Here is a 22662-nt window from a genome sequence, read left to right on the forward strand (position 1 = left end):
TATGAACAAGGAGTCAAACACCACAAAGATCACTAGTGTGCACACACAAACACACACAGACACACACAGATGGGGTAAAGACCTCTGTCCCTCCTGCATGCCTGTCATACTACCCCTTAGGATGCCCAAGGAAACAAGCTCTTGGCCTGTTATACTTGTGTATAATATGTTTCCTCAGCTAATTTTCAGCTTGACTGTGATTATAGTAACAGCTGCAGCCTAGCCAAAAAGGAAAGAAAAGAAAGCAAGGTGAAGATGTATTTCTTTTTCTTTCAGGGCTACAGGGCAAGATCCTAAATATACAATGGTATCACTCAGGTGAATTCCACTGTCAAACTAGACAACATTTCTTAATTTAATATCTTTTAGAATAAAAAAACAAAGAACAAAAAACAAGTTAGGCTCCCAGCTCAACAACAGCTTAGTATCATGTTACATGCAACCTTCCATGGTCAAAGTCCTCACCTGCATCTCTATCCTATGCCTGCCTTAATCAGATATTTCAACAGGGTGACTCCTTGAGAGAAAAAGTGGCAAGTGCTCTTTGGACTAAGGAGGAAGAAAGCCCTGCATTTGTTTTTTTGTTTGTTTGTTTGTTTTGTTTAGTTTTTTGCTACTAAACATCAGACACTCGGGGCTGACAGAAAGCAGTTAAAAGTGAACTGAGCCCTATCAATGATAATTGCCATCTTAGAACGTGGGGTTTGCAGAAAGTGGTATCAGACTATTAATGCCTTTCACTAGCTCCCCACTAACTCGGATTCTTTCCCCACCCCCACAAGTGGTCACGCACTGATGGCCCTGAAGTAACAGCGTCCGGCCTTTCCTTCCTCCGATGTCCCACATGATGATGCTGTTGTCAGATGCTCCTGAGAAGAGTAACCGCTGAATAGGGTCCCACCAGAGGCAGGCGACACTACCTAGGGATTTGTGAGAGAGAGAGAGAGAGGGAGGCAGGGGAGAAGTAAAATATAACTCTACATCAGGACGTATACATTTGACAGCTGAAGACCAAACTAGGAGCAGCTGAGTCTTTAAGCAAAAAGGTATCTTCATGGTGTACAACGGGTCATTCAACCATGCTATCATGAGTCATACAGAAGACACAGCACCATTATCCACAGTCATAAGATTACAATTTTCAATTATGCATCAAACTACTTTGGGCCGGGCATGGTGACTCACACTTGTAATCCCAGCACTTTGGGAGGCCAAGGAGGGCGAATCACTTGAAGCCAGGAGTTCAAGACTAGGCCTGGCCAACATGGTGAAACCCTATCTCTCCAAAAAAACAAATTAGCCAGGCATGGTGGCAGGCGCCTGTAATCCCAGCTACTCGGGAGGCTAAGGTGGGAGAATTGCTTGAACCCAGGAGGTGGAAGTTGCAGTGAGCCAAGATAGCACCACTGCGCTCCAGCCTGGGTGACAGAGTGAGACTCTGTCTCAAAAAAAAAAAAAAAAAAAAAAAAAAAACTGCTTGTAATACAAAGATTTTTAAAGAAGTTTTTCGTTCTTCTGTGACAAAAATTACAAAGTAGCTTACATACAAAATGTTCAGAATGAAGAAAAAAATTGCTACTAATATTTAGTGACAAAAACCAGTAAAGTTTACTGTGTCCAACCTACACAAGATAAAAAATCTAGATTATTCTGGGTCTCTGGGACATGGCAGGTGTTTTACCCCAAGATGTCTATGTTTAAGCAAATTACATTAAGTACCACAGAAAAAAGTCTGTTGTACACTACATAATTATGCCAAGTAATTTATGTGAAAAATCTGAACTTCACATTTCATACTTTATATTGGCTAACTTATCAAATTTGAAACCCTTGGGGAAATCTTTCTTTCTACAGGTATATCTTTCAGTAGGTCCTTTCCTTGTTCATCGACTGCTGTTTGTCTAGAAGAAACATTAATCAACTTAGTAAAACTGAACCAGCCACACAAGCTAATAATAATTTTGGTAGGTATATAGAAAATTAATGATGCCATATTCAAAAGCAAACAGAAACTACTTTATCACATACACTTTCCAAAAACAGAACAAAAGTAGAAACAAATATTCTGCAAAGGCTTCAGGGGTTACTTTCACATGACTTTCGACCCTGTGTAATCTATGTGCCATCCATTTCAGTTAGAGGCTTAAGAGCAGATAAATACGGTCTTTCAGCATGAAAACCAGTACCCATTCTGGTAGTTACTAGAACCCATTCTGCCTTTAGCAACCCTGAAAAAACTGGCGAGCCTGGGGGTCATGAGAGAATTAGTCATAAACAGAAAGTGGTTTCTTCACGGGCCTCTGCTTTCCTGCCCAAAGCTATTTTAACTTGCTGTTCTCTTTTCTTCTTTTCCCCTACAGGGTCCTTGATTTGATATACTCCATTTCACCTAAATAGATTACATAGAAAGCATAGTGTACATTTATTATAACTTGTTACAACTGAAACGCTTACTATGGTCATAAATAAGTCCATCATTGATTCTTTCAGCAACTCCCCAGTTCTCCATAAACCAGATGGCCTCAAAGCTTGTACTTTGTGACATATATCAGAATGTGATCTTGTGATCTGTATGAAAACTGCAATCCATTACAGCTTAGCATCTGACATAGTTTAGACATGTGTCCCCTCTAAATTTCGCATATATATATATATATATATATATATATATATATATATATTTTTTAAGACGGAGTCTCTCTCTGTCACCCAGGTTGGAGTGCAATGGCATGATCTTGGCTCACTGCAACCTCTGCCTCCCGGGTTCAAGAGATTCTCCTGCCTCAGCCTCCCTGAGTAGCTGGGACTACAGGCACCTGCCAACGTCCAGCTAATGTTTTTTGTATTTTTAGTAGAGATGGGGTTTCGCCATGTTGCCAGGCTGGTCTCAAACTCCTGACCTCAAGTGATCTGCCCAACTCAGCCTCCCAAAGTGCTGGGATTACAGGTGTAAGCCAACGGGCCCAGCCTCTAAATTTCATGTTAAACTGTAATCCCCAATGTTGCAGGTGGGGCTTGGTAGTTGGCTCATGGGGGTGGATTTCTCACGAATGGTTTAGTGCCATCCCCTTGGTGCTCTCCTTGAGTCAGTAAATGAGCTCCCTTGAGATATGGTTGTTTAAAAGTGTGTGGCACCCCCACACCCCCACTCCTGCTTTTGTCATGTGATGTGCCTGTTCACACCTCACCTTCTGCTATGACTGTAAGCTTCCTAAGGCCCTCACCAGAAGCATGCCGGCACCATGCTTCCTGTACAGCCTGTAGATCCACGAACCAATTAAACCTCTTTTCTTTATAAATTACCCAGTCTTAGATATTTCTTTACTGCAATGCAAGAATGGCCCAATACAGCATCTAATGAAACCTCTTTATTACACATGTGTATGTGGCGAGTCACTCAATACAATCAATGGACTTTAAAAACCCCTCCACAGAGCTTCACCAACCCACTGCACTACAGAAATGAAATTCCACCCAGTAATTCTTTTCCCTCAGTCCCTACACAGGGTATGTTTCCCAAGCAGAGGCTGAACCAGCCCACACATTTCTTCTAATTGTATTTATCAGGTCTTGCTCAGGGGCTTAGAAACTGACAAATTTTTTTAAAGTAATAACAACAATTCTTCCAAAAGGTTTTTACCAGTTAGAAGTAATTTTAAAGGTCTTCCCAGCACAATAACTTATTTTATTTTTATTTCTATTTTTTTGAGACAGAGTCTCACTCTGTCACCCAGGCAGGAGTGTAGTGCTGTAATCTCGGCTCACTGCAACCTCTGCCCCCCAGGTTCAAGTGATTCTCCTGCCTCAGCCTTCCGAGTAGCTAGGGGTGGAATTACAGGTATGCGCCACCATGCCTGGCTAATTTTTGTATTCTTAGTAGAGAGGCAGTTTTGCTGTGTTGGCCAGGCTGGTCTCGAACTCCTGGCCTCAAGTGGTACACCTAATTCGGCCCCCAAAGTGCTGGGATTACAGGTGTGAACCAATGTGCCAGCCATAACTTAATTTAAAAAGGTAAGCAACGTAGAAAGTATTATCCACACAAGCAATTTAGAAGGGATTTCGACAATATGAAATGAACCCATCACCCCACCTTCACTTAGTTTTCACTCTAAATCCCATATCTGGCCAATCAAAATGAAATCTGACAGATCATGAGGAACACAGCATTCATGAATCCACATAGTAGAGAACTGAATTTGGATGTCCAAGTTAGGCAAAAAAAACTCTTGGGTGATAATATAGCCTACCTTCATGTCCTTTGAGGGTTGTGATGACTGAACACGTGTTCTGTTCAAGCTTCAGCAGGGTGATCTGCCCAGAATAATCACCAACGAAAGCATACTGAGTGTCAAAGTCATATCTGAGGAGAAGCAGTCAAGGATGTAGAACAGAAATCACCTGAAAGTCCTCTCATAAGAGAGATACCAGCATTAGTCAAAGTTAGTTTTCAAAGTTAGAAAACATGCATTTTAAAGAGAATAAGCATACACGTAAAACTATAACAAGAAAGGAAACACCCAACTGAAAAGCATGCAATATGTAAATATTGAAGGTAAAAATTAAAACAGCTGTTATTACTGAGAAAGTTTATATTCATTCATTCAACAGGAACTCATTGAGTGCCTGTTACTATATCAAGCAAGATCCCAGGAACTGGCAATAAAAAAAGAGCTGGTAGGGCAGACACACACGAAAACAAGTAGATATAATCAAGTACAATAAAGTGTCAAAGAGTAAAACTGATAACTACTGGGCTGGCTGCAGTGGCTCATGCCTGTAATCTCAGCACTTTGGGAGGCTGAGGCGGGCAGATCACTTGAGGTCAGGAGTTCAAGACCAACCTGGCCAACATGGTGAAACCCCGTCTCTACTAAAAACACAAAAAATTAGCTGGGCGTGGTGGCACACGCCTGTAATCCCAGTTACTCAGGAGGCTGAGACAAGAGAACAGCTTGAACCCAGGAGGCAGAGGCTGCAGTGAGCTGAGATGGTGCCACTGTACCACTCCAGCCTGGGTGACAGTGCAAGACTCTTTCTCAAAAAAAGAAAAAAAAAGGAAAGAAAAGAAAAAGAAATTGCTAACTACTGAAAACAGCAAGAAAGCTCTGAAACGTAATGGTTATTTATGAAATATCTCTGAAAATAATGTAAATCTGACAGTAAATACAAGACATGAATCCATGTTTCTTTTGGCCTAGAGAATTTAGCTATAAATGAAGAGGATGATTCACTTTAAATTACTGTGGATAGTTTAATAATCCAAAACGCAGTTATTTGTGGCGGTAGTACATTTAAATTTAGAAAATATATTAACTATTGGTCACAACTCATTACTTTCTCGATTTGTGGTCATAGATATTTGTGGAAAACCAGAAATTTATACACGACATGTTAACTACTATTTGTAATAGGAAAGCTATTTACAGTAGGATAACTATCACTCTTCCAAAACACGGGTCAAAAAGAGCACCGTAAACTAGGGCATGAACTGTGATTCTGTGTCATTTTCTACAAATCCATTTTGAGAGGCCTAGCACGTAACAAAAACGCTTATGTAGCACATACTATATCAGAGTATTTTTTGCTTGTTTGATCCTAAAGTATATGATACTATTTTAAATATCTCATGCTGTGCATTCATTTGTAGCAAACATTTTAAAGAAAGGCTTTCAATGGACAGAATTTTACTAAGCCAGACATTCAACTCTGAGAGAGAAACTACTGCGGGGTGTCTGCCTGTTGTTGATAACCTTGATCTTGCCATCACTAAGATACACAGCAGGCAGAGGTATCCTTAGGTAAGGGCGAGCTCTACATGAAGCAAATTCCATGTAGTAGCAGGAATTTTTTAGGCCGTGATTTTTAGCATTTTGGGGGATCCTGAGCCATCTTTGAGAGTATTATAAGGATTATGGGTCCTCTCCACACAAAAAAAAGCATTAAGCAAAAGTTTTGTGTAAAACTCCTTGTAGCCCATTTAGGAACAAACCCCAGGGCTATAAACCCTTAATGTTCAGTACATATACTTACAGAGTCTGCAAATAACCAATTACTAGAAGACAAGTTCCTTTTTTCCTTCCTTCACACAATAAAAAGTCTTTCCATTAGAAACACAAAGACATGAGAGGAAGGGTTTGCATTAATGGGCTTGGGTTTTCCACAATTTTGAATTAAAAACCTATAGCACCTCCCAGCACAGAACAATTCATTTCATTATTTTTAATAAACCCAATTTACAGCAAACTTACGGAAGTTCTCGGATTTTCAGTGAAATATGTATTAGGTTGGTGCAAAAGTAATTGCAATTTTTGCAATTACTTTCCATGGTAAAAAAAAAAATGCAATTACTTTTGCACAAACTTAAATAGGTTTCATTCAGTCTTTAGATCTCAGCCATTTGGGATGAGATTCAGAACCAAACACTGAGAAGCAGAGGCCAGGGGAAGGAGAGGTCCGTGGCTCTGAAGGATACTGCAGACACGAAGCCCAGGACGTGAAGAAGTGCCTCCCGAGCATGTTCCCGCTCCGCGTGCACATCCAGCTCACACACTTGTCGTGGCCGGTACTGATCACCCACTCTGTGGCCAAGCTGAAGATAATCGCAGACACCCGGTTCTGATGAGCTGCAGGAACAGAAAGGTGAACAGATGTCATCTCCAGAAACAGCACTCTATGGGGAAGAACTGAGGCTCAACCTCTCAATCTGCTCAGCCAGGGCACAGCTGTGTACAAGAGTGTACTGGAAATGCCTGTCCTCTGTGAGTATATTTCAGACAACCCGCCCCAGCTCAACAACTCACTAGCACAGGCTCTCTCCAAGGCGGTGCCCTCTGCTCCCCACAGGCATGGCCACCAGAAGCTAGGAATCATTAAAGAGTAACGCTCAAGGAGAAATCAAATAATAGATTAGAGAACAGATTTTTTTTTTTTTTTGCTATGCTCAAGAGAACATTTTTACTTTGCTCTAAAAAACTGTATGAACAAGAACCATGTGGAAAGCAGCAGTTGTAACAGTGCAATGTTTTAATCGTCTGTAACTTCAGTGTTTTGAACCTTCAGAAAACACTGGCATTCTAAGTAAGAGCAATGGCAGTTTTCTAAAATTAAAAAATGGTGTTATGTGTTTGGTTTCTGGAATACTTTTTATCAGTGTGTAACATTTTATTATTTACAAAGACAAAGCTTTTGTAAAGTTCTCTGTTCCAAAATAACAGCTGAGAATGAGGAAGGTATTCTGTCTGTTACCTAACTCTGGAAATATTTCCAGGTCAATTATAAGCCACACCGGGGCAGTGTAACCTGCCTTCAACTTCATCTGGTACAGAACTTTGCATGTAGTAGATGTTTAATAAGCATCCAGTCTGATGAATGAAGTCAAAGGCCTGACAGAGAAACTGCTGACCTTGCTCTCAGCTGTACAGACTGCTTAGGAAGAACTGAGGGACTCTCCCCAAAAGTCTACGTGCAGGTCAGATTCATCCACTGCTAAAAGGTTACACTGAACAATTAAATACTCATGAAGGATTCTGAAACTTAAAGGATGCTATGATAGCTATTAATCTTAAATTCAGCTGGGCACAGTGGCTCACACCTATAATCCCAGCACTTTTGGGAGGCCGAGGCAGGAGGATTGTTTGAGGCCAGGAGTTGGAGACCAGCCTGGGCAACAAAGCAAGACCCCACCTCTACAGAAAATTTTTTAAAACCAGCTGGGCATGGTGGCACTTGCCTGGAGTCCTAGCTACTCAGCAGGCTGAGATGGGAGGATCCCTTGAGCCCAGGAGTTGGAGGTTACATTGAGCTATGATTGCACCACTGCACTCCAGCCTGGGTAAGACAGCGAGACCCTGTCTCTAATTAAAAAATAAAAATTTAAAACTGAAAATAATGTTAAATTTGAGTAGGCCATATCTCATAAGATCTGTCTCAGCGTCTGATGTGGAGCCTAATGCTTTTTCTGTTTTAATGATATTTAATTTCCATAAATACTTACAGGGTGTGTATTATTATACTGATTTTCAGATAAGAAAACTGAAATGCAAATATTATTTATAAAATATTTATAAATATATATTAAATATAAATATTAATATACGCCTAAAGTCTAATAAGTGATAGATTAATTTGGTCTGTCTCACTCAAAACACTTTTTCCACTAAATCTGTAGTTGTTAAACTCGGGCCAAACAGTCATAGGGTTTAAACTAGTTTGTGGTAAAGATGCTGTAGTGAATAGTCAACTATTTTTTCCTGGGAAGAGCCATCCTATTTCTAAGATTATATCCTTTCTGCTGTTTGGTTTTTTCTGATATCCTTTCTTTTATGAAAGTATGGTGAGATACAGTCATGCTTATTTTGCTTCATTTTTAGTTTTTAAACTCTCACTTGGCAAAATAAAAAATACAGCAATCCCTATATTAGTCCTCCAAATGTTTTCTAAAATGTTATTAGTCAATGAAATATAAAGGTCCAAGAACCACTGCACAAGAAACCTATGCTGCCTTATAGCCCATAAAGAACTCTGACAACCAGCGGGGCTTGGTGGCTCATGCCTGTAATCCCAGCATTTTGGGAGGCCGAGGCAGGAGGATCACTTGGGGCCAAGAGTTCAAGACCAGCCTGGCCAACATGGTGAAACCCCTTCTCTACTAAAAATACAAACAATTAGCTGGCCGTGGTGGCTCGCACCTGTAATCCCAGCTACTAGGTAGGCTGAGGCAGGAGAATTGACTGAACCCAGGAGGCAGAGGTTGCAGTGAGCCAAGATCGTGCCACTGCACTCCAGTGTGGGCAACAGAGTGAGGCTCTTTCTCAAAAAACAAAACAAAACAAAAAAAAACCTTTGACAACCAAAATATAGATAATAACATGAGATGTGAATATGAAATAATTTGATCCTTAATGAAAGATGAAAAATACACACACACACACGTTTTTTGTTTTTTTTTTTTTAAAAAAAGGGACAGGATCTCACTCTGTTGCCCAGGCTGGAGTACAGTAGTCTGATGATGGTTCATTGTAATCTCTAACTCCTGGGCTCAAGTGATCCTCCCACCTCGGCCTCCCAAGTAGTTGGGACTACAGCATGTGCCACCATGGCTGGCTACATTTTTATAGCAGTATGGTCTCTCTATGTTGCCCAGGCTGGTCTCAAACTCCTTGGCTTCTCAAAGTGCTAGGATTACAGGTGGGAGCTACCACAACTGTCCAGATGAAATAATTTATTAAGGAATTTGCCTTTTGACAAAAACATTGACCAGGCATTTAAGGGTCTCCAAGCCTGGCATTTAAAGGTCTCCAAACTCGTAGGTATATACCTCATAAAGGAATTTACGGATTCTTGATTATTTTAAAGATAAACCTGCACATGATGGCTGAGAATTCAAAGTTGCTTCTGGTGTTATAATAACACCATAATGCTAGTACATTACTCAGTGCAAGATTGGAAAGTGTTATCATTCATTGTTACAAAACAGTTTCCCTGACCAACATACTCCAAGGACAAATGTATGGTCATTGTTATATCACTTTTCTCCTATTTTATTTATTGATTTATTTTTGAGAAGGAGTCTCGCTCTGTTGCCCAGGCAGGAGTGCAGTGGTGCGATTTTGGTTCCCTGCAACCTCCGCCTCCCGGGTTCAAGCGATTCTCCTGCCTCAGCCTCCTAAGTAGCTGGGACTACAGGCATGTGTCACCAGGTCCAGCTAATTTTTGTTATTTTTAGTAGAGACGGGTTTTCACCATGTTGGCCAGGCTGGCCTCAAACTCCTGACCTCAAGTGATGTACCTGCCTCAGGCTCCCAAAGTGCTGGGATTACAGGGGTGAGTCACCGTGCCTGGATGCTTTTCTCCTATTTTAAATTTGGAACAGGTGAAACAATATGTAGGGAAAAGCAATTTGGCCTTCTTATTAAAGTATCCTATTATTAGACCACATTTCACCAAGATGAACAACACATACGTAAAACATCTACACTCTAATTTTTACCTTTATCCACAAGCATTAAGTATAAAATTTTAGAAATATAGAGTGAATAAAATGAGGCTAAATGTCATGTCCTCTGGTGAAGTTTCTGGGAATCAGCTAATTGCTCTGATGGGAATCCACAACTTAATCAAAATGCTTTAGTTTTGCAACTTCAATCTGAAGTTGTCATTGGGATCTTGCTTTTGTTAAGTTTTAAAATATTGAAATTTACAAAATAAAGTAAAAACTGAAAAAAAGGTATATGTCACAGATGCCACAAAGTATTGATAGCTTTGTAGTGAAAAGTGCTTACAATTCAGTTAGAAAACACTCCAGCTCCCTGGGAATATGCGTAAAATCATAAACGGACATTCAGAAAAGACAACAAATGGTCAACATTAAATAAAGCTTAAATCATTTTCAAATTGAGAACTTTCTTGACTATAAAACAGGAAAAAGAAATTATGAGGCAGCCATGTTGTGAAGACTTCATGAACAGGTATTCTCAGCTGCCATTCGCAGACTGTAAAAACTTGCACTATTGCTGTGAAGCAGTCTGCAAAATAAATCTAGGGCACTTAAAAAACTTTTTAATGTCTGACCCGGTTATTCCACTTTGTAGGAATTTGTCTTAAAAAAAAAATTCCTCACTGAGCACCTAGGGATTTGTCTTAAATAATCGGAATTATAGAATTTGGACAGGTGTGGTGGTTCACACCTGAATTCTAGCACTTTGGGAGACTGAGGTGGGAGGGTCACTTAAGGTCAGGAGTTCGAGACCAGCTTGGGCTACATACTGAGACCTCGTCTCCATTTAAACAAAACAAAATAAAATAGAAACAATGAATTATAGGATTAGAGTCAGAATAACAGTGGAGAATACCCACACACACACACGTGTATATACTTATTCAATACACACACACAATGTGTATACACATATCAAAAAATTGTACACTCAGTTATATACACACACATACATGTATGAAGAGTAGTGTGTGTTATCAAAAAAAAAATGGAAGCAGTACACATATCCAATAATAAAAGAATGGTTAATTAAATCTGATACATGTGCCTGATATACAAAATTTTAAATGTTAATGAGCAAGAAAAAGCTGAAATATCACTAAAAGACAAGTCTCTTGCATAGTGGGGGTAACAAAACTAAAAAGTTAATGTGAAAATCTAATTTTCATCATAAGAGATGATGTTCTAGTTTTGTGTATGTCTACATGTATGTGTACGCAAGATAATGTGTATTATAATTACCTGGGTAGGTCTTGATAAAGTTCATTTTATTAAAATCTTCAGAAACGTGAAATTCCTAAAAGCAAATGCACAAAATAAAAAATTAAAAGAGTTATGGTTTTAAAAAACAACAGAAACTTGACTTTCAAAAATGAAGTAAAATCCAAAAATGATTATCACAAGACCTAGGACTTAAGGCGAGTTATTTAGGAATGATATGAATTGCTTCTTTCACCAGACCTGTCCTCAGGCCAACATTGTTTGGGAGAACAGACCGAATTGAATAAAGTAAGTGCTGCTGATCAGCATGGGATTTGTGTCCACTTCTTCCTGCCCAGATCAGCACTCCATATTCCTTCTCCCTCCTACTACAAAACTTTATTCTCTTAGTGACACAAAAAATCCCTCAAGACACTGCATATTAAAGCAAAACTGCAAAGACCCCTCACTAACAGAGCTCTCAGCTACAGTAAAAACAGGGCACTGGGTAGCTCAGCAATTTAGTGGGGGAAAGTACACCTATTTAATATACAAACACAACAACAACAAAAGAGAAATTTTGAGATTGTGGGTGGTTTTTGTCTTTTTATGATCCCATATTTTCCAAATTTTATTTATTTATTTATTTATTTAGAGACAGAGTTTCGCTCTTGTTGCTTCCTCGGCTCACTGCAACCTCTGCCTCCTGGGTTCAAGTGATTCTCCTGCCTCAGCCTCCCAAGTAGCTGGGATTACAGAAGTGCACCACCACACCCAGCTAAATTTTGTATTTTTAATAGAGATGGGGTTTCACCATGTTGGCTAGGATGGTCTCGAACTCCTGACCTCAGGTGATCCACCCACCTTAGCCTCCCAAAGTGCTGGGATTACAGGCGTGAGCCACTGCACCTGGCCCCAAACTTTCTATAGATGTAATACTTTATAACTTGGAAAAGAAATTTAAAGTACATGTGTTTTATTGCAAAAAAATCAACCTCAACTAAAGCTATGAAGATAAAACTCTAAAGAAAAATCACGAATTACTACTACCATTATTATTATTATTATTATTATTATTATATTATTTTGAGACAGAGTCTCGCTCTGTCACCCAGGCTGGAGTACAGTGATGCAATCTCAGCTCACTGTAACCTCTGCCTCCTGGGTTCAAGCGATTCTTGTGCCTCAGAGTCCTGAGTAACTGGGACTAAAGGTGCATGCCACCACACCCGGCTAATTTTTTTGTATTTTTAGTACAGACAGGGTTTCACCATGTTGGCCAGCCTGGTCTTGAACTCACAGCCTCAAGTGATCCACCCCCCTTGGCCTCCCAAAGTGCTGGGATTACAGGCATGAGCCACCGTGCCCAGCCAAGAATACTATTATTGATCAATGCTAAATTGACATGGATATTATGAATTGCTGACAGACCAGAGTGAGGGGGGAAAAAAGCACACAAAAGAATACAGATTTCTTGTTTTCCATCTTGTTTTTGTAAAGTAGAAAAAATGTATCAGCACTGTATATATTAATCTGTATTCAGTGGAAGAGCAATTGATCAATTGCTAACTAATGCTAAATTGGATTTGCATTGCCCCTTTCCATTGAACAACTGTAACAGTTCTTATGTGCCATCCTATAATGACAGTCTCCCCTTGAACTGAAGGCCACAAGAAGGGTCCCTAGGGAGATAAATGCACCAACACTGCACCACTGCACTATATGAAGCTTGTACTTAGTGGCTTCTCATTATATGTGTGTATGCACATGATGATATTCCTATAAAATTTTCTGAAAGCTAAAACGGAGAGCTTCAGCATTCACTACTGTGTCATGCATTTCCAGCACCCTCACCTGCCGCCTGCTGCTGTGTGAACTGCATGGGCAGGGAGCCTGTCCCTTCCACTGGATCTTTCTTCTCGGCCCTTACATCAAGGCTGCTGCTGCTATTTTTTTTTTTTTCTCTTTCTTTTGAGACAGGGTCTTGTTCTGCCATCCAGGCTGGAGTGCAGTGGTGCAATCTCTGCTCACTGTAACCTCCACTTCCCAGGCTCAAGTGATCCTCCCACCTCAGCCTCTTGAGTAGTGGGGCTATATGGGTATGCCACCACACTAAGCTAATTTTTTTATTTTTTGTAGAGATGAGGTCTCACTAATATTGCCCAGGCTGGTCTCTAACTCCTGGGCTCAATCCTCCTGCCTAAGCCTCCCAAAGTGCTGAGATTATTGGCATGAGCCACCACACCTGGTCCAAGGCTGCTTCTTTCATTAAAAAATAAATACATAAATAAAAACAATGAAACTCTCATAACTATACTTCTACTTTCCTTGACCCCTTCTCAGCCAAAAGCTTCTCTAATGACCAGACCACTCTGGTTACCCTCAGGCTCTCTGGCTCCCACATCTCCCAGTCACACTTCAGTCCATGGCTCACCAGGGCTACCCCACTGCATGGAAAGGCTCTTCTTGTTATCAGCAGCTGTCTTCTACGTGCCATCCCAAAGGCACTAGCCAGGCCCAATTTCATCCTCTCCCTCCTGCCCTTGACACCTTTACTCACCTCCTCCCTGAAACTCACTGCCCTCCAGCTTCCGTGGCTGCACTGTCCTGGCTGGCTCTCCTCCCACTTTGCCCATTCTTCCTGTCTCTCCTTTAGGCTCCCAGTCCTCTGGCTTTTCTTTAAATATTGACATTTCCCTAGGAATGTGACCTTGGCCCTCTGCTTTTCTCAATGTACCTGCTCTCTCTAGTTCACGGCAGCCACCGTTGTAGTTTCCACTGACGTCTATGTTCAGGGAACTCCCAACCCCTGCCCAGACCAAACCCTGAGGTTCCAGCACACACACCCAAGGTCGGTTCTCAAAACTGAACTCATCACCTTTCCCCAAAAAAGATCAGCATCTTTTCTGTCTCTGAAGACAGCTAATTCCTGGCTAGAAACCTGAAAGTCATCTTAAAGCTGCTCCCTATTTCAACACACACCTTTATTCACACACCCAGCCCTGCTTCCCGGACAGTTCTTGAGGCCACAGCCTCTTCTCCATCACCACCCCAGTATTTCATGATTTCACACTGGGGTCCGGAGGCAGCCTCCTAACTGGCACCTGCACTTTCAGCCTTGTCCCTTCAAAGCCTGCTACAAATTTCTGAGCTCACAAAAACCAGAAACCTGCTCCTGCTCCTCAGAGGTTTTAGCAAAACCATGTAGTTTCCCTAAAGCACTTGACCCTAGGGTTCATCTAGAGGACTTGCTACTTATTGTACAGATCCCCAGGCCCCTCCCTAGTGATTCCGAAGCTCTAGGTCTGGCATAGAGCCGGGGAATCTGTATTTTAGTAAGTTCCCTCAATGATTGGCGTGACTATGCAAGGTCAGGAAATTCAGCTTACATAACGTGGTCTGGGCCCCTTAAAGTCACACTCAAGGATCATCATTTCCCCTCCTCCCTGGCTGGCCTCCCCTTTGACCCCACTCCAAAACAGTGTCATTATTTAGGCAGCAGGTCTGGGCCCTGACTTCTTTCATTCCCTCCCCAGCTACTCACAGTCATTCTTGTGGCTTGAAAAATGACCTGATGATGATGCCCTCTGCCCAGACCTCTCCGGGACTCGTTTTGTTTATCCTGTGCCAACTTCACATGGCCAGTTGGAAGCTCACTGGTATCTTAAACTAGGCTGGCTCTCACTGTCCCCTCTCCCTCCAACTGCCTCCCCCACCCAGCCTTACCCTTCTCAGCGAACAATACTACTTCCTACCCAGCTGCTCAAGCCAAAAACCTGGCTGTCATCTGACTTCTCTTCCTCTCCTCTACACAGCCAACTTATCTCAGATGTCTCCAAGACTTATCTCAACTCAAGTCCATCCATTTGTCCTTCTTCATGGCCACTGTCCCTTCACCCAGGCCGCTAAAACAATCTGATTCTCCCACCGCCACTCTGGCCGTGCCTCAATCTGTTCTCTACCCAGTAGCTAGGGTGATCTTCGAAAAATGTAAATTACATCATGCTATTCATCTGCTGAAAACACTTTAACAGCTTCTCACTGCAATTACAATAAAATTTAAAGCTTTACCCAGACCTACAAGACCTTGCATGACCCGGCCTCTGCCCAATTCTCCAATCGCCCTAGGGTGCCCTCCCTATATAGCCCTGCACCATCAAGCCACTATAACATTGACTTCTGGAAACTCTTCCCTGGCTCTCTGCCTGGCTGGCTCTGTGACAAAGATGCCAAAAAACTTAAATGGGGGAAAAAAAATAGTCTTTTAAACAATTGGTGCTGGGATAACTGGATGTCCACATACAGAAGAATAAATGTGGAACCCCTCCCTGATACCACTATAGGAATTAACTTACAATAAATCAAAGATCTAAATGTAAAGCTAAACTATAAAACTCTCAGAAGAAAATACAGGTGTAAATCTTGATTTACACCTATCTTTACAGATATAAATGACCTTGGATTAGGCAATAGTTTCTTAGATATGGTATCTAAAGCTTAAGTAGCCAAAAACAAAAAAGATAAATTGGACTTCACCAAACTTAAAAAAAAAAAAAAAGTAAAAAGGCAGCTCTTAGGAGAAGATATTTGCAGATCATATATCTGATAAGGGTCTAGTATCTAACATACAGAAAAAAACTCTTACAACTCAACAATTAAAAAATACTCTATTAAAAATGGGCAAAGGACTTCAATAGATATTTCTCCAAAGAAGATATAAATGACCAACAAGTACCTAAGAAGATCCTCAACATCACTAGTCATTAGGAAAACGCGAATCAAAACCACAATCTGGTACCATTTCACACCCCCCAGGATGACCATAACAAAAACAAAGCAAAACAAAACAAGCAGAAAATAACAAGTGTTAGCAAGGATTTGGAGAGCCGGAAACCTTGCGTGTTGCTGGTGAGAATGTAAATGGTGCAGCCACTATGGAAAACAGTTTCATAGTTGCTTACAAGTTCAATATAGTCACCATATGACCCAGCAATTCCACTCCTAGGTATACATACCCAAGAGAATAGAAAAAAATATGTCCATGCAAAAACATGTACATGAATTTTCATAGCAACGTTATTGATAATAGCCAAAAAGTGAAAACAACCCAAATGTCTATCAACTAATAAACGGATCAACCAAATGCAGTATAGAATGCTATTCCACTGCAAAAATAATTAATTAATTCAAACAGGCATGAACCTTGAAAACATTATGTTAAGTGAAAGACAGACATAAAAGGCCACACATATTGTATGAGTCTATTTATATAAAGTGTCTAAAATAGGCAAATCCTTGGATTCAGTAAATTAGTGATTTCCAGGAGCTGGGGGAAGGGGCAATGGAGAGTGACTGCTAATGGGTATGGGATTTTTTTGCAGGGAGGGGTGATGAAAATATTCTGGAATTAGAGAATGGTGGTAATGGTTGCACAATCTTATGAATATGCTACAAGACCACACAATTATATACTTTAAAATGGTAAATATAATTATGTTATTTAAGTTATATTTCAATTAAGAAAAAACAAATGTATGCATACAATTTGACGCACAAAAATGCCAGTCTATAACAGACTAGAAACTTGAATATCAGGTCCTTTGCCAAAGATAGTTTGAGAAGTATTGCCTTAAAGAGTTCTGTGAGTTGCTAGCTGAATGACCACACACACACACACACACACACACACACACACACACACACACACACACAGAGTGACAGAGGCTCTCCACCATCACGGCTAAGGGATGGGGGCTGCTATAGGTGACGTATTCACTCTATGAAGGCTATGATCTGTGGGTCAGCCCGAGCACCCAGCTATCAATTACGACAGCATTCTGAGCTCCAAGGAACTAGTTTAAAATTAAGCAATAATTTAATCCATTTTTGACCTAATATCTATACTGAATTAAACTTTTTTTTTTTTTTTGAGACATGGTTTCCCTCTGCTGCCCAGGCGAAAGTGCAGTGGTGCAATCTCAGCTAGCTGTCAGCCTTGACCTCCTGGGCTCAAGCCATCCTCCCACCTCAGTCTCCTAAGCAGCTGGGACCACAGGCATGCACCACTACCAATTAATTTTTTTGATTTTTCGTTGAGATGAGGTCTCACTATGTTACCCAGGCTGGTCTCAAACTCCTGGGCTCAAGCGATCCGCCCGCCTCAGCCTCCTAAAGTGCTGGGATTACAGATGTGAGCCACTGTGCTTGGCCTAAATTAAACATTTTTCATGCCAAACAATCGAGCATCCATTGTTAATCCAAAGTTAACTGGCCAATATGGGACATGGGAGGTCAATATAAAGAATATAATATAAAGAATACAATAAATACATTCTAAAAGCTACCTACCATTACAGCTCCATTATCCTGGCCCACAAATATCCGTCTGCTGTCATGATGGTAAGCCATAGCAGAGCAAGGAGCTGCCAGAAAGACAAAGACCACATTACCAGCAAAGCTAAGCACTTTAAGTTGTTCTTCAAAGTGATTAAGAACTATATGATAAGAACTATATAATTTAGGTTCACAGAAAGAGGGTAAAAACGTTTTATACAAATTACGTAAATTGAAAATGTTATTAAAGTTCTCTCTGTTGTCTTAGTTTAAAACCTTGATTTCACAAATCTTCTCAGTTGTTTCTATAATGCTGGGTGAAGTGAGCCAGCATGAAGCTTCATCTGACTGAAAGTACTACCTGTAGTCTGGCAAGCCTTGGGGACCAGTGCTTGTAGTGTGTGACCTGCTGCCCAAAAGCTCAGGAGGTCATCCCGCCCCTGCCACCCTTCCCATCAAATGTCAAAGAGTAGCTGTGCAAAGATGGGTTCCCAGCACCAGAATTCCCATTCTATGGCATAAGTGAGCATATGTGAGGTGCAGATATATGGCATATGTGAGTTGTGAAGTGCAGACAGGTTTCCTTGTCCTCCTTCCATGTTCTACCCTACCCTCTTCCAGAAATCACAGGCTAGAGAATGAGTTTCAGAAAGGAGAAATTCTAAATTGTCTTTTACCAAAAATTAGAATTAAAGTGATTTATAAATTGGAACATTTGGAAAAAAAATGTGGGTTTGTTTCAGCCTAAGGAATTTTAATTAGCAATGGAAGAACCAAAACAAGGAAATGCATGCTAGGGAAAAACAAAACAAAACAAACAAATTTGAATTCACTTTGGAATAAAACTTCTCATAAAAGACGGGTGGGTAGGGTGGCTCATGCCTGTAATCTCAGCACTTTGGGAGGCCAAGGCAGGAGGATTGCTTGAGGCCAGGAGTTGAGATCAGCCTGGACAACACAGTGAAACTCCATCTCAAAAAAAAAAAAAAAAAAAGATAAAAGAAAAAACGTCTTTTAAATGAAGTCACCATTTGAATATAAAGTTCTCTCTCTCTAGTAGGGTGATATCCTCACCAAAGGAAGGAAGTAAACTATAATACTGGATCGTACCCCAAAGCAAAAACATAGCTAACTGCATGATCAGACCATAGAGACTGTTTCAGTTGCATCCAAGAACTATGTAGTTGGCTCTGAAAGGTACGTACTGAAATTGTGCACAAAACAATTAGAATTGACTATGAGCCTGTATACCCTTATCTGACACAGTGATGTTTGAGATTAAAAGAACGATCAAGTATTATGACCACAAAGATATATATACATATCTTTATACAATCAAAATGTTCTTTAATAAACCATGCATACACTTATCTTTGACAAATCAAATCATGCTTTGATGCGTTCAGAGATTCACTGTCATCATTTTTGCTTGCTTTCTAGCTGGCACTAAATGCATTAGTTTTAAGCTTCTTTTCAATTTTTTTAATGCCCAACCCTATAACAAACAACATAAATATGTAAAATCCCTCTTTTGTGTAAAAATTACAAAGTGCTGGGTAATTTTATGAAGCTAGACAACTATAACATTTCAAAAAGAAAAAAAAGGCTTCCTTAGTTTGTTTTGTATTATATAGTAATATCCTGGCTCTCTCCCTAGAAAGGAGGTTTCTAACTGAGATAAGCAATATAAATTTAATGTAGAAGGGGAGGGGTTGGATATAAAGCAAAATAGGAATCATCTTTCAAATCAGTTAGCTTTTTTTTTTTTTTTTTTTTTTTGAGATGGTGTCTTGCTGTCACCCAGGCTGGAGTGCAGTGGCGCAATCTCAGCTCACTGCAACCTCCGCCACTTGGGTTCAAGCGATTCTCCTGTCTCAGCCTCCTGAGTAGCTAGGATTACAGGCAGCCACCACCACACCAGGCTAATTCTTGTATTTTTAGTATAGACAGGGTTTCACCATGTTGGCCAGGCCAGTCTCGAACTCCTGACCTCAAATGATCAGCCTGCCTCGGCTTCCCAAAGTGCTGGGAATACAGGCATGAGCCACCATGCCCAGCCAAGTCAATGAACTTTTAAAAAGCCATCACTGCAGTCCAAAATCAAATGTTTAAAACTTTGGATCACACCAGAAGGCCAAATTCAGCTGACTGCATGTTTTGTTAATAAATAGTTTTTTTTTCCTTTGGAACATAAACCCTTTCATTTATGATTGCTTGCATGCTACATTTATATATAACTTATGATTGCTCACATGCAATATTTATGTCTTGTTTATGACTCCTTGCATGATAGGAAGGCAGAATTGAGTAAGTGCCACAGAGATTGGCCCACATAGTCCAAATGTTTACTGTCTGGCCCTTTGCATAAAAAGTTTGTAGACCTACCCATCACTGTGGTGAGAAGCATAGGTTTGGAGTCATAGATGAGCATGGATTGGAATTCCAATGACAAGCAATCAACCCTTCTAACCTCAGCTTGCTTATTCACAAAATGGTAAAAATATTATCTGCCTTGCATAGCTGTTGTGATGGTTTCATAAAATTATATTACCAAAAAAAGGCATGAAGTACACAGTAAAGATAGAAGCCAAGAGTTACCATTTTTCTTCAGCTAAAGCAGATTCTGAAAGTTTTTTTTTTATGTGAGGTAATGTTATAGAACACAATTGGACTGCATATAGCAATATACTAAGGCTTGGCTTATTGATCACTCTGTCAAGTCACAGGAAAAAGTTTAAATTGGTGGATATAACCACTAAGACATCCTAAATTGGATAATCTGCGGATAGCTTTTAGAACTAACATGGCATCCTTCTTTTTGTATCCTAAATTTAATTTTGAAATAAAAAGTCATTCTAAAACAGACATGCAGTTATTTCTCACAATGCATTCACTCTGTTTTCTTCTTGTGGTGTATCTGCAGTTTTATCAGCAGATACAGGTCCAAATAGAAGCAATAAAGAAGCATCTAGAAGTAACACACTGAACATGTGCAGATACAAACATGTAGGTGTCGACCACCCACTGCGAAGCTGTGTCTGTTCTTTCAAGTTCCTCCTTCTTGAGCTAGAAGCTCCTTCAGGAGGGGACAGTTAAGCCAAGTTAGAAAAGGCTGAAGACAGAGAGATCCACTGCCACTTGCCCGAGATCTAACAGCCAAGAGAACACACACATTTCTACTGCTAGGTTTTGGTGTCCTGGGAGAGAAATTAATTACAAAGTTGTACTATTTGGGGGAAATGCAAGTCAAGGAGTAACTGAACCAAATATGGGACAAAATCCCTCTAGTCTCTGTCTCTATTCTAATGAGCATGAATTTCAAGGTTAAGGACTCAGGGAGATTAAGCTATGACCAAAATGCTAATGATGGAGGAAGGGAAGAGTGGGAAGCATAAGAGCCATAGTATTAACAAAATTTTCCCCAATGATGACAAAACATTTCCCAGCACTGATACGCGTTCCTCAGGCTGTTGCTACTTCCAACTCTCAGATCTATCTCTGGGCCACTGGAAAGTAAGGAGTTAGCCTAACAGAAGTCTTTTTGGGAGACTGGGGCAGGTTGGGTAACAGGTGGGCTCAGAGACCCAGGATGTCCCACCTATCTCTGCCCTGCTGCCAAAATTTCCAAAGTAAATTTATCAGACAGGCTCCATAAGCACCTTCACTAAGACATTGGTTACTTCATATCTCAAGGTGAGAATTTAGTGTGAGAACCAAGGTTACGCATCCACAGTACATGCAGACATGGGTAACAGAAGAGATGCCACTGCTTGGCACAATAAATTATGATCAGGTTTTCAAGAAGTCTTCAAATGTCTTATGTATTATAAGCCTTTACTCTTCCTTTCATAATAGTTATCTTTATACCAGGGTTCCAAAAGGTCTCTCTCAATTTCACTGAATGACTACCAAGACAAAGAAGCTGGCCAGCCTGCCCAGGCTGTTGGTAGAAGGCAGAAAAATAAAAAATCCTAATAAACTACTAACTTTTTGTGAAAATTATTACAGAATCTAAATGCTGCATGCACAATGAAATAGGTATAAAGGAGAAAGTGCTACCAGAGGAGAGAGGTGCCTGAAAGGATGACTCAAGCTGATGAGATGCAGTTTGCTGAATAACTGGCTGCTCTGTCTTTATAACAAACTCCACAGCCCTGGAATACCTCTTAAGAAAGCAGTGGACAGCATCAGCAGCATCTGCAACCACTGTCAAGAGCTCTTCTTTGGAAAACTTGATAATGGTCTTCAGTAACAAATCATCACGCATGCACTAAAGCCTTTTTTCTTTTCTTAGGGGGTTGTCCTCTGTGTATTAAAACCCTTAACTGAAGAAAATCACTGATTAAGGACGAAACCTCAAGGAAATTAGCAGCTACAGAGGCCTCCTGTCTGGCTACTTGGCATAACGGAGTTGACTCCCCATTTGAACTTTGATGACATCCAGGCATTCTCTACAGGGCTTTCTTTTCAGGAAAGGTTGAAGAAAGGAAGTGGGAGACAAGGATGGTGACGCTGCTTAGATTCACATGAAGGGCTAAAGTTTATGTGTCATCTTATGTTGGTATATCCCAGGGCTGCTTTTTTTTTTTTTTTTGATACGGAGTTTCGCTCTTGTTGCCCAGGCTGGAGTGCAGTGGTGTGATTTCAGCTCACCACAACCTCTGCTTCCCGGATTGAAGCGATTCTCCTGCCTCAGCCTCTTGAGTAGCTGGGATTACAGGCATGTGCCACCATGCCCGGCTAATTTTGTATTTTTAGTAGAGATGGGGTTTCATCATGTTGGCCAGGCTGGTCTCGAACTCCCAACCTCAGGTGATCCGCCCGCCTTGGCCTCCCAAAGTGCTGGGATTACGGGCATGAGCCACCAAGCCCGGCCTCCAGGGCTGCTTTGAAGTCTCAAAGCAGAAGATTCATCGTCCAGATTTATTTATAGAACATACCTGACTGCTGAGAAAATTCTCTATTTAGAATGTGTTGTACCTTGGACCATGTCTCTCAATAGGTCCAGAGGTTGGTGAAAAGGTTGGGCAAAGGTAGTCATGACGCTATGGAGGGCACAGTCCTTTTTTAGTGTTGATATCGGCTACCATAAAGGACAAAGTTACTACTAATGTAAGTTGGCCAAATTAAGACAA

At 40.7% G+C, this 22662-nt stretch overlaps 1 protein-coding gene across 1 annotated transcript in view, besides 5 other annotated features; it reads right to left on the reverse strand.

Moving 5' to 3' along the window:
• Positions 1-22662, reverse strand: part of WDFY1 (WD repeat and FYVE domain containing 1) — a 69988-nt gene that overhangs the window by 19363 nt on the left and 27963 nt on the right. The window contains exons 3-7 of the mRNA NM_020830.5: positions 17543-17616; positions 11237-11291; positions 6473-6623; positions 4248-4360; positions 794-920 (exon numbers count right to left, since the gene is read on the reverse strand). Of these exons, the coding sequence (NP_065881.1) occupies positions 794-920; positions 4248-4360; positions 6473-6623; positions 11237-11291; positions 17543-17616 (520 nt within the window). The remainder of the gene's footprint in view (positions 1-793; positions 921-4247; positions 4361-6472; positions 6624-11236; positions 11292-17542; positions 17617-22662) is intronic.
• Positions 1018-1077: an enhancer, noted in NCBI's record as "active region_17177". NCBI's record gives its function as "activates an Ori minimal core promoter by ATAC-STARR-seq in GM12878 lymphoblastoid cells {active_cell/tissue: GM12878}" and the evidence as "EXISTENCE:reporter gene assay evidence [ECO:0000049][PMID:35858748]".
• Positions 1088-1237: an enhancer, noted in NCBI's record as "active region_17178". NCBI's record gives its function as "activates an Ori minimal core promoter by ATAC-STARR-seq in GM12878 lymphoblastoid cells {active_cell/tissue: GM12878}" and the evidence as "EXISTENCE:reporter gene assay evidence [ECO:0000049][PMID:35858748]".
• Positions 1248-1307: an enhancer, noted in NCBI's record as "active region_17179". NCBI's record gives its function as "activates an Ori minimal core promoter by ATAC-STARR-seq in GM12878 lymphoblastoid cells {active_cell/tissue: GM12878}" and the evidence as "EXISTENCE:reporter gene assay evidence [ECO:0000049][PMID:35858748]".
• Positions 2049-2108: an enhancer, noted in NCBI's record as "active region_17180". NCBI's record gives its function as "activates an Ori minimal core promoter by ATAC-STARR-seq in GM12878 lymphoblastoid cells {active_cell/tissue: GM12878}" and the evidence as "EXISTENCE:reporter gene assay evidence [ECO:0000049][PMID:35858748]".
• Positions 2229-2428: an enhancer, noted in NCBI's record as "active region_17181". NCBI's record gives its function as "activates an Ori minimal core promoter by ATAC-STARR-seq in GM12878 lymphoblastoid cells {active_cell/tissue: GM12878}" and the evidence as "EXISTENCE:reporter gene assay evidence [ECO:0000049][PMID:35858748]".

Source organism: Homo sapiens, chromosome 2 (genome assembly GCF_000001405.40).
Source record: "Homo sapiens chromosome 2, GRCh38.p14 Primary Assembly".
Taxonomy (NCBI): domain Eukaryota; kingdom Metazoa; phylum Chordata; class Mammalia; order Primates; family Hominidae; genus Homo; species Homo sapiens.